A 12,037-nucleotide genomic window follows, 5' to 3' on the forward strand; every position below is an offset into this window, starting at 1 on the left:
ATAGATGACACTGGTATAAGGTGAAGATTATCTAGTTTATAGATGGATTTTTATTTAGATATTTTGCTTTCTTTTTCCTATCTATGATGTGGTTGTTTCTAAAGAGGTCTGCTGGAGTGTGAGATTGACACAAGTGACTAAAATGGGATCTTTGGGATTAACTTTGGGTTTTTATTATTTATGCTCTCCCTCTCCTCTCCATTACAGCAGACAGCTGAAGACAGGCTGAACCACCCATTCTACACTCTGGAAATAAGTTTACATAGAAAGAACCCTTCTAAGAAAAAGCAACAGCTAACTCATCTTTCAGAGCATCCTTGAGGAGTAAAACTGGGAAAGGATCAGGCAGTGCTGCTCTATGTTTATTGGTATGTTCACTATTTATGGGAGTTTTCTCTTTCAGAATCATATTTTCAGCTTCTTGAGGGCAGGTCTGAATCCTGATGAGGCTTTCTGTCTGCATTAGTGCCTGGGACAGTGCAGTAGAAAGGATGTGGGTTGTAAGGATCCAAAGTTCTGAGATCTAGTTACAGCTCTGCCCCCCCAAAAGCCATTTTAATCCTTCTCGGTCTCAGTTTCCTCTCTGTAAGGTGGGAATTACCCACTGCATGGGAGTATTGTATAGCACAAATTAGACAATCTGTGGGAAAATACTTCTATGACCCAAAACGTGCTGTGCAAGAGGGATAGACTGCGGTAAGAGCTCTGACGTCTCAAGAACTCTATACTGGTTGATTTTCCTGTTGAGGATAGGCAGGCACAGAGCACAGGTGGTCGACCCTGGGCTTCAGACGGGAAAACACTCAGGAGTGGAGGAGAGGGGAAGGACATCCCTGGCAGCCCCTGGAGAGACCACAGACACTTTCTCACTGCCCATCTTGGAAGATCTCTGCACTATCTCTTTTGCTTCAAGCTGTTTGTTAGTCTGGTCCCTTGTTTATTTGTTCTTTTCTTTTCTTTTCTTTCTTTCTTTTTTTTTTTTAAGAGACAGAGTCTCACTCTGCTGCCCAGGCTGAAGTAAAGTGGTGCGATCATAGCTCACCGTGGTCTACATCGTGCAGCATTAGTAGTACAGTGGTGAGCGTAGCTGCCTTCCATAGCTCATCGCAGTCTCAAATTCCTGGGCTCAAGGGACCCTCCCACCTCAGCCTGCTGAGTAGCTGGACTATAGGCATAAGCCACTGCACCCAGCATATTTTAAATTTTTTTGTAGAGACAGGATCTCACTATGTTGGCCAGGCTGGTCTTGAATTCCTGGCTTCAAGCAATCCTCTCCCCGTGGCCTCCCAAAGTTCTGGGATTACTGGCATGAGCCACCATACTCAGTCTATTGGTTCATTTTTTAAATCAGATGTTCACTGAGCACCTACTATGTGCCAAGCACTGTGCCAAGAATTGAGAATTGAATGGTAAGCAAAACCAGGTAAGGTCCCTGCCCTCATGGGGTGGAATCTGGCCTGTTTCTTCCCAAACATGACTTGAGTTTGGACTCAAGCCTATGCACTAAGTCCTGTGGGTACCATCCAGCCCTGGGGACAGACATAAATGTTGTGTTTTAGTGGGATTCCAGATATAAGCTGAAAAATATCAACAAGTTTAGGCCAGGTCCAACAAGGAAAAAAGAAAAGGCAAAACTCCCAGCAACCTCTTTTTTGGGTCTTCCTTCCTGTGCCCTCATCGCCGGTTTCCAGAGTCATACTCTTTATGGTTTTACCCTCTTTTGGAACTCTCACCTAACTCATTCATATTAAGGTGTTTCCTTCTCTAGAAGCACTGAATTTAACAGGGAAAAAAACCTTAAAGAAATGATACCCCAGCTGGAGGGATGTTAGAGGACATCCTAAATCACACCACTAGGGTAGTCATTTCAGAATGGCACTTTCAGGGGCAACAGGTATAGAGGAAATGGGTGCTGGCAGCAGGGATGGGTTCCCTTAAGCAAATCTCTGTGCTCTTTAAACATTACTCAAGGTAAGGAGGGGAAAGGCAGGGAGCAATATGGCTGCCATCAGGGTCCTTGTTTTTGTTTAGAGGAGGTGAGTTTGCAAGGGCTTATTCCATTACTATAAGTGATAACTACATTATTCACTGTATAAATGAACGTGGAAAAAAATAAAGACCAGGGGAGTCTTCTGTAGCCAGAGCCTAGAAAAGCCCCATCCACTGGTCCTCTTTTTAAATTTTTCTCTAATTTCTGACCAAGCTGTCAGACAATCCTACTGGTGAATTTCCAGCTGGAATTTCAATTTCCCTCTTAGTGAGAAAAGTGAGACACATTTTATTATTAGATCCTAATCCCTAAAGTGAAATTCCCGAAAGACTGTTGGTTACGTGAACCCTGAGTAGACTCATTAAAAGAAAAGCTTTGTATTGTAAAATAAAGCATGGGCACTGAACACCACACGAAAGAGATGCTCTGCGTTGGGAGGGATGGGAAGGGCAACATCCAGGTAACCGTCATGCAGGTGGAGACACAGAACTTTGCCAAGCACCCCACTCCATGTGTCTGGTCTGCTTGTAGCCACCCACCTCCCTCCAAAAGTAAGCAGACTCCTGGCTCCACAGTCTTTGTGTCCTTGTGTGTGTTTATGATGTCATCACCCACGCGTGTATCGTCAGAGGCTGCATTTCAGTCCTCCCATTTTTTGCATGCCTTTTAAACTTATTTTAAGTGACCAATTTCCCCCTCATTCTTTTCCTTACAATTTTTCTGTTGAAGACTCTTGCTGTCCAATCTGCAGTTTCTCACTGTCTGGATTTTGCCCTTGATGCATGCCAATATGTCCAAATGCACTCATTTTCATGCAAATAATCACCCATTTAAAAAAACTCTGTTTGCCAGCCATGTTCTTAAGGAGGGCACAACCCACCATAATCACTTTCTCATGAGCATGTGGGCAAAGGGAGTGCTCACAATAGAGGTAATGAGACAGAGAGAAAAATGTGAATGTGATTTATGAAAAAGAAATATATATATTTCCAATTGGAAGCGACCAGGGAATGCTTCTCTTTAATGCCTTTCAATATAGTTTGCTTTAGTAGGAAACACATTTGGAAAGGGATTTGGCATCATGTTGTACTCTAGGGTCCAGGGTTGCATGCATTAGTTTTTATCAAAGATGACTGCATAATAGGAACCTGGATGTAGCAAAAACCTAAGGAATCTAAACCACTAACCAAGCTCACCAAATGTAATAAATATAAATCACAGATGAAAGGAAGATTAAATCTGGCTATTCACTTATGCAAGAAATGAAAGCTTTAAGATTTTTTTTCGTTTTCTAATCTCAGCAGGCAGGCCCATGAACATAATTATTAGTATTTTCAAGGCTTGATCAAATATTGGCTAATAAAGAACTCATTCACTTAACGGTGATGACCTCCAGGTACCTGCAGTAAGTCCAGAACCCTAAATTATATGCTCCAGAGCTACGGCACCTACATGATGGACAAAATAAATGAATAGTGTTATACTAGTAGATGGGAGTTTTTTTTAACACTTAAAATTAAATATGCCTGAATTAAATACCTGTTTCGATTTGCAGAGGGGGAAAAAAGCTCCCAAAAGATGGATATGATAAAAGGCTCCCTTCACACCCAACAGACTACAAATACTACCTTCAAAACCATCACAGCATTAGTTGTACAGTCACGAAAGGGGCCAAAAAGACATAGAGGGGAATAAAAGAAATTAGGCGAGGGCCTAAATGAGCACATGCTCGCTCTCTATTCTTATTTCTTTCCTTGGTTTTCCTAGGGATTGTATTTTTGAAAAAAAAAATCAGGTTTGTGAGGCCTCCTCTCTGCTCACATTCACTAGAGAGAAGGTAAGGACAAAAAGGGATAGGGAGGGAAAAGATAATCACAAGAAGGATGGAGGCAAATTTCACAGGCAGACTGATATCTTCCTTGGGCTCAGGAGTTTTAAAACTCTGCTTGCAAGATTAGGTTCTTGCTTTTATAGTATAGATGGTAAGAGATTTCCAACTCTGATTTTACAATGCTCTGGGGTATATGCAATTATTATGATGTGTGCATTTAAAATTCTCAAAGCCAAATTAATTTGAATTCTTTTTCACCAAAAAGGCAGACATTCAAAAGCTTTTTTTTTTTTTTTTCAGTTACCATCCTAGTCTACCTTTCTGTATTTTTTTTTTTTTTTTTTTTGAGACAGGTCTCACTCTGTCACCCAGACTGGAGTGCAGTGGCACGGTCACAGCTCACTACAGCCTCCATCTCCGGGGCCCAAGGAGCGATCCTCCCACCTCAGCCCCCTAAGTAGCTTGGGCTACAGGCATGCAAAACCCCGCCTGGCTAATTTTGACATTTTTTTTTTTTTGTAGCAATAGGGTCTCATTATATTGCCCAGGCTGGTCTCAAACTCTTGGGATCAAACAATCCTCCTGCCTCAGCCTCCAAAAGTACTGGGATTACAGGTGTGAGCTACCATGCCTGGCTCTTTTTGAAAGATTTGATACTCCTTGGAATTTACCCTGCCTGGGCCCTGGTACACAGTTGCTCTGTTTCAAGGCTAAGTACTTGTCTTCCCAGCTGGCTGGTGCTCTTCTTCCAGGCCCTCTCTGGATCACTAGGAATTCCATAGTTCTTCCCTAAGCCTTTTTTCCATCCTTGTCCCTCTTCCGAGTCCCTACTCCAAAACCCCTCATGGACTGCTCTCTTCTTGAGGTTTCCCACCTCGGCCTCTAAGAGCTATGGTGGAATGAAATTCCTGGTGGGCAGGCTGGGCTGGCTCCCAGCAGTGATATGTGAAGGGGGAAGCAGAACTTCGCAAGGGGAATAAACCTATCAGGGCCTTCCATGCTTCCATCAGCTCACTTCTCCTCCTGGGCTGGGCTCAATCTAAGTATGTTACATCCATGACGGTGATTAATCCTCATACCACCTCTCTGAGAAGCATGATTATACCCATTTTCCACACATGAGAAGATTTACACTCAGTCAGAGCAGGAGCTAGACAAGGCTGGCTGAGCAGTGAACCTTGCTCCCAGCCCGGCTCTGAACCATCACACTCTTCAGTGTGAAGCAGGAGATTTTAGCCTCACGTTTCTGGACATTGGAAGGACTCAAGAGCTTTGGGGTTTGCTCCTTTGGTAGCCAGTGGAGGACAGATCAGTGGTGACAGGTTCTGGCTCTGTGGCCCCCTGCCATGCCACTCTGAAAGGGGGCCCTCCCCTGCCTGTGCCTAGGCCTCCCTGGCCACCACCCAGTTTTTCCATGAGGGTCTACCGCAGAATGCAGGTGTGAAGTCTTTACTCTGTACCTCCCTACACTGCCCAGGGTAGAATGTGCTGGTTCTTCTCAGGACTGTGCCATCTGTAGATAGACCAGGGCCTTAGCCTTCCTTCTTAGCAAACGAAGTGTATCAGTTCATAGGAAACCACTCTGCTGATGACACTCAACATCTGAACACAGGACAGTAAAAAAGGCCCTTGATTTGGGAGGTACGGGGAAGAGAATGGAGACAGGCACGATTCTGTCTTTACATCTTGAGCCATCCCTGCGGAAGGGGGTCCGTGGGGTGGCCGGGGGTGGTAAGGCTTCAAATCCTTTCTTTGAACCATTTTAAAGTTTTCTTGCATGTTGCCTCCTTTCCCCATAAACCCATGTAACACATCACCAACTACTACACAGAAAATGTTAAATATATAATAAATATACTAAATTATATAAAAATATTATTTAGTGGCCTTTTTTTTAGTTTATTCTTACTTTTTTTTTTTTTTTAATCCAGGTACCCAATTTTATCAGCCACGTTTGGAGTAATGGGTTGATGAATGTTGATACAGTCATGGGGTTTCATTTATTCATTATGTCTTCCTTCTTCTGTGGGAGGCAGCGCTGAGATGATAAATGCTGGGCTCAGATCCAGCTTGGGCCACTCACTCCCAAGATTCATACACAAACAGACCAGCTTGATCAGGGCCCAGCAGGGAGGTGAGGCTTAAACCTCCTCGCTGGAGGAGGAGCCAATAAGAAGACTGGCAGCTTGGATAGTGAGTGTGTGTGTGTGTGTGTGTGTGTGTGTGTGTGTGTGTGTGTATGTCAGAGTGACCTATCCCAGGTGGATGCTGGGAGTGGTGGCAGGAAGTGGGGTGTGATCAGAGAGACAGGAAAATGCTCAGAGAAATGTGTGATAGCTCAGATAGGTCTCAAACCACAAGGCCCTGTCTACACATCCAGCACGATTCCTTCTGGAACACAGGGAGTTAAAGATGAAACAACTCTAGAAACTGAAACCAATTATCCATGGCAATTTATTAAATAACTAAGGTTTCTAGGCCTTATTAAAATAAATGTTTAGTGTATTTTCTTATTCTCTGACATTCAGTTCTTTACTTGTCAGCACCTGCTGGCAGCAGCTGGAGTAATCTTACCAATTTTGCCATATGTGCAAATCAATTTGATTTCCGCCCCCCCCAAAGATAGAAATCAGTAAAGTGATTAAGTTACAATTAAGGCATGTCATTGAAAGCCCAGATAACATGAAAAGGCTGAGGAGGAATCAGCTGGAGGTCACCAGTGATTTCCTTCCACCCAGGTTAAATGATTTTCCCCCCTCATTCTCCTGCCTGCTCTACTGCATGTGACACTGTGGATGAATCAACAAGCCTCCTCCTACTTCTGGGAAGTCTCTCCTTTTTCTGGCTTCCATCATGCTTTCCATATGCCAAGTTCTCCTCTTGTCACTCATACTGGCCCCCTAACTGTTAATCTGTCTGTCCATCTATCCAACCATCCACCCATCCAATAGATGTTTAATGACCCAGTGTGTCATGCACTGGGAAAAGTGACAAAGGATATTTATGTATGGTTTTACAGTTAAAAAAATGCTTTTCCATATATTATTTAATTAAATTCCTGCTACAACCATATGAGGGGGCTGTTAGGATCCCCATTATTTTATATATGAGGAAACAGGCTCTGAGAGGATCTGCAATTTATTTAAAACAGCACAGCCAGCAGGTGGCAGGGTCTAGACATGAATTCAGGTTTTCATCCCATTAAGAATTCCTAATGGTACTCTCCTATATACTGGTGAGGTATAATTTCTCAACTAGCCTCACTGTTCCTAATGAAATGTCACGCTCCAGCTATCACGTATTAACTGAGACTATGTTAGGCTCTGAGGGATGCAAAGACTGAGTCCCCATCCTCACAGAGCTTGTGGCTGAGTTGGGAAGGCAGACATTAAACATTTCTGTTCACACAAGAAATACTTGTTTTCAACATATAAGGGAGAGCTCATCTAGTTGTGAAAATTAGGGGAGTCTTCCAGAAGGAAGTAATCATTAAGATGCAGTCTGAAGGATGAGTCAGAGTTAGCTTTGGAAAGCGGGGATGAAAGAAAATCACATGTACAGAGGGAAAAGCATGTATGTGCAAGGGCCTGTGGCAGAAAGACCCAATGTGCTGAAATTTTGAAGGCCAGCTTGACTGGAATATAGACAATGAAAGGGAGCCTGGCACAGGATGTGGCCCAGACCACACAAGACTTTGTAGCCATGATAATGATTTTTACTTTTAGCTTAAGAGCAAAGGGAAGCCACAAGTCAAGAGAATGACATGATGAACTTTGATTTTGATTCTGACTTCTGCGTGCAGAATGAATTGTAGAGGAGCAAGAGTGGAAGCAGGAACAGCTGGAAGGCTTTTGCAGTTGTCCAGGTGGGAATTGATGGCAGCTTAGACCAGCTTTGTGGTGGTGAAAATGAAGAGAAGAACCCCACAGGTACCCCCTGCTCTGCTCAAGCCCATTTCCTTACTAGATCCTGACACCAGAGTGTGCTCACGAATTTGCAGTGAATGGAAGCTTGTCCACACTTCAGGGCTCTGCTGGAGTCTCCTCTTCCAGGAAGCCGTCTCCAGACAATGCCAGTCCTCTGAGATCTTTCAGAAGTTGTACGTCTCTTCTGCGTTTTCCATTCTCACACCTGATGCTTCTCTATGGCTTGGCTGCTCTCTGGTCCACTCCTGGAGATGCCTTCATTTCTCCTGTTGTCTTGCTTTCTCCCTTTGGAAAGTAAATGCTTTGTTGGCATTTGCTGAATGGTATCAACATGGCTCCTTTGGAAATTATATTTGTAAATGATTACTCATGCCAATTGCCATGTTTCCCCCTAAATTAAACACTGGTTGCTTAAATGCGTCTTCATGATCTTGTTCTATCAAAATGTATGTCCCAATTTTTCCATTACTTCCTCTAAACTCTTTTCCATATTTCTCCTAGTAGAAAGCAGTTTCAGGGGGAATGGAATGGCGGTGGGGTGGGGGCAGGAGTGCAAGACCTGAATTCCTATACCTTTTTAATGGGGTATTTGATTAATCCTTTTCATGGGCACCATTATTCATGCCTTGATAGAATCTCATTTTATAGCTCTTAATACATGGACCCAATTTATCCACATCACATTGTATTCTAATACTTGTCATCCAAGTTATTAGCTATCTCCTTCTCAGTGTAAAATCATCAGTAAGTTTGATTAGCTTATTCCCTGGGGATGATAGGGGAGATAAGAACAGACACAGTACAATATGACCCCAAGGGCTCTGCATTCTCAAAAGAAGACTGCTACATGGAATCCATTTATGGAGCCAGGGTGGCCAAAACAAACATCCACCCCATGGGAGGGACTCTGTGCAACCCAGGAGCTGTAGCCATGAAGGGCTGACTGCTGCCATTACTGGCAGGACTGAGCTATCATCCTAAGTGGGATTTTAATAAAAAATAGTGGGGTTCTTCCACCACCTGCTTAACACTCCCTCCCAATGACTTTCCTGAGAATCACAGCCCAGAAGCTTCTCTTTACTCCTTGACACCCTTCTGCCTTCAATCCCTGTTCTTTTCCTACTGGGCACCTGGCAGGGCGGACAACCTAGAAGGAGATGCACAGTGCTGTGTACTGCTCTTTCTCCAGCACAGCCTTGGGTCTAAGCCTCCAGCCCTGTCTTTCTCTTCTCTGGAACCAAATCTGAGCCTTGGGACTCATAGGTGGCTTTGCTTTTGTAAGCAAAGTCACTCTTTAGCTTGAAAGAGAGAAGGGGCCTGCACAACCCCTATAGGATGGTAGGCTCCAAGCCCATGGAGAGTTTCTAATGCCCCTTCCCCTACCCAATCACCTTTCTTCAGCCCAATCAGGTGCATCCCTATGGCCCCAATGGCTGCAGCCCTCCTCATCTTTACACCAAAGGCCCTGTCAATGATTCTTGTGCTTTTCTGAGCCTGGCAAGAGTCTCACTGAGGTGACACTCTTCCTTTCCAAAGGTGGAGCCCAATTCCCTTCCTGCAGTGTGTGGGCTGGACTTAGAGACTGATTTCTAATGAACAGAATAGAGTGGATGTGACAGCGTGTCCTTTCTGAGACTAGGCCATAAAAGGCATTTTGACTTTCTCCCTCCCTCTCTTGGGTTGTTGGCTCTCAGGGAAGTCAACTGCTATGCTGTGAGCAGGGCTGTGGGGAGGCCTAAGGTACTGAGCACCAGGAACTGAGGCCTCCAGCCAACAGCCATGTGAGGGAGTCATCTTAGGAGTGGGTCCTCCAACTCCAGTTAAGCCTTCAGATGAAAGCTTGACTGCAGCCTCATGAGAGACTCTGAGCCGAACCACACAGCTGAGCCACTCCCAGATCCCTGGCCCACAGAAACTGTGCAAGACAACACAGATTTGTTGTTCTAAGCTGCTAACGCTGGAGTCATTTGTTATGCGGCAACAGGTTACTAACACACTCTTCCTACTTTAGGGTAAGGCTCTCGTCTTCTCCTCCCCTTCAATTCCCTTCTTAGGTTCTATTTTCATCTCTTCTCTCTTGAGGATGTCTGGTATCCCTGTTGCCCCCTCCACTGACCCATCCCTCTGTGTCCACTCAGTCCTCACAGTCTCAAGGACTCTTTCCCAAGAAGGGGGAATGGAGGAGGGAGGAGCTCCCCAGGACCTGGGTTTGCAATTCCACTCTTGCCTGCCATCCAGAGTGACATCTGGCATTAGGAGAATGACTTTTTTGCAGAGGGCAGTCTTCCTCAGGCCATGAGGCTGCCTCTTGTTTTTAAACCTGGGGGCATAATAACTTCAGCCAGGCCCACAGCCAGCATGAGAAGACTTTGCAAACATCATGTTCCCCTTTGTATCATATGCTCATCTCCTGTGCCCTTTTTGCTCATCTGCAATTTCTGCAAAAGGTCATGTCTCATTTCAGCTTTGCCATTAAGTGCATTTGACACTAGGTGGGAATTCCAAAACTGGATGAAGATGCAATCTGGCTTAAATGCTGCAAGGTGGGCCGCTATACTTCACCCCAACCAGCTGTGTCCTGCTAGCATAGACACCCATGCAGGAGGTGGCAATCTGATAGTCACTTCCTTCATAATTATACATGGGGCAAAATGTAGTTTTTTTTTTGTTGTTGTTGTTTGTTTGCTTTTTTTGAGATGGAGTCTTGCTCTGTCACCCAGGTTGGAATGCAATGGCGTGTTCTCGGTTCACTGCAACCTCCGCCTCTCGGGTTCAAGTGATTCTCCTGCCCTAGCCTCCCAAGGAGCTGGGATTACAGGTGCCCGCCACCATGCCCAGCTAATTTTTATATTTTTAGTAGAGATGGGGTTTCACCATGTTGGCCAGGCTGGTCTTGAACTCCTGACCTCAGGTGATCCACCCGCCTCAGCCTTCCAAATTGCTGAGATTACAGGCATGAGCCATGGTGCCCGGCTGTAGTTTTTAACTAAAAACAAAAAAATCCAGGTAGCTTTTCCATCTGGTCAAATCCTAGTAATTTTTACAAAATCAATCTCAGTTTAACGGAGCAAAATCAGACAGAGATAGATGTCAATTTTCTAGAAGGCTTGGCAAAGCTTAAAGAAAAAAAAAAAACCACAATGGACCTAAGCAGTGGAGTGGACCCCAAAGCAGTGGTTCTCAAAGTATAGTCCCAGGGCCAACAGCATCAGCGTCATCTGGGGACCTGCTAGAAATGCACATTCTGGGGCCCCAACCCAGATCTACTGAATCAGAAACTTGGGATGGGGGAGCCGCAGTTGATTTTAACAAGCCCTCCAGGGGATTCTGACACATGACTACAAGTTGCGTATCACTGACTTAAAGGATTAAACATCTAAATCATTCATTCAGTCATAAGCTATTGACTGAATACCCACTATTTGTCAGACATGGTGAACTCTGGGGCAATGTGGAGGAATGAGAGGGAATGTCTTCCTCAAGGAGTTCACAATACTCTCTTCCCTTGCTTTATTACAAAGCTTGAAAAGAATGCAGGAATCTGAAGACATAATCCAAGGAATGGAAATTATTCTTTATATGTAACTTTTCAATGGACAGGAGGCACATCAAAATTTTTTTTTCCAGGAACGATCATACTCTCAAAATAGTAACCTTTCTAAAGTAAGTAAATGTGTGGGTTTAATATATCATGTACAGCTGGCTCAGGCTTTTAGGCTTAAAAAAAAAAAGATTATGAGATTCCACCATGAATGAAATGCAGGATTATTTCAAAGATTCACTTAGGCATCTGTCTGTCTTAATGAACAAACTATTCAGTGTTACCATCTTCCTTGAAGTAGGAGTTCTTGCCACCTCTCTTAAAATAAGTCTAGGCCGGGCGTGGTGGCTCACACCTGTAATCCCAGCACTTTGGGAGGCTGAGGCAGGTGATCACTTGAGGTCAGGAGTTCGAGACGAGCCTGGCCAACATGGTGAAACCCCGTCTCTACTAAAAATACAAACATTAGCCAGGCATGGTGGGGCATGCCTGTAATCCCAGCTACTCAGGAGGCTGAGGCAGGAGAATTGCTTAAACTCAGGAGGTGGACGTTGCAGTGACCAGAGGTGGCGCCACTGCACTCCAGCCTGGGTCAGAAAAAAAAAAAAAACCCTCTAAATAAGTCATAACAGCTCATTTGTATTGTGTGCTGGGCTTGGGATATCTGTATTCATTAACTCATTTGATCCTTCCCTGATCCTACAAAGTAGATGCTGATCCTACAAAGCAGATGTAGCAAACACATACAG

General features: G+C 44.4%; 1 protein-coding gene across 3 annotated transcripts in view; it reads right to left on the reverse strand.

Moving 5' to 3' along the window:
* Positions 1 to 12,037, reverse strand: part of ATXN7L1 (ataxin 7 like 1) — a 271,828-nt gene that overhangs the window by 148,660 nt on the left and 111,131 nt on the right. Inside the window, exon 4 of one of the 3 annotated variants that reach the window (NM_152749.3) lies at positions 6,759 to 8,032. The exons of the other annotated variants lie outside the window; for them this stretch is intronic. Within the exon in view, the coding sequence (NP_689962.1) occupies positions 7,947 to 8,032 (86 nt within the window). The 3' untranslated portion in view covers positions 6,759 to 7,946. Of the gene's footprint in view, positions 1 to 6,758; positions 8,033 to 12,037 lie in introns of those variants that run through there. 3 annotated transcript variants of the gene reach the window in all.

This window comes from Homo sapiens, chromosome 7 (genome assembly GCF_000001405.40).
Source record: "Homo sapiens chromosome 7, GRCh38.p14 Primary Assembly".
Taxonomy (NCBI): domain Eukaryota; kingdom Metazoa; phylum Chordata; class Mammalia; order Primates; family Hominidae; genus Homo; species Homo sapiens.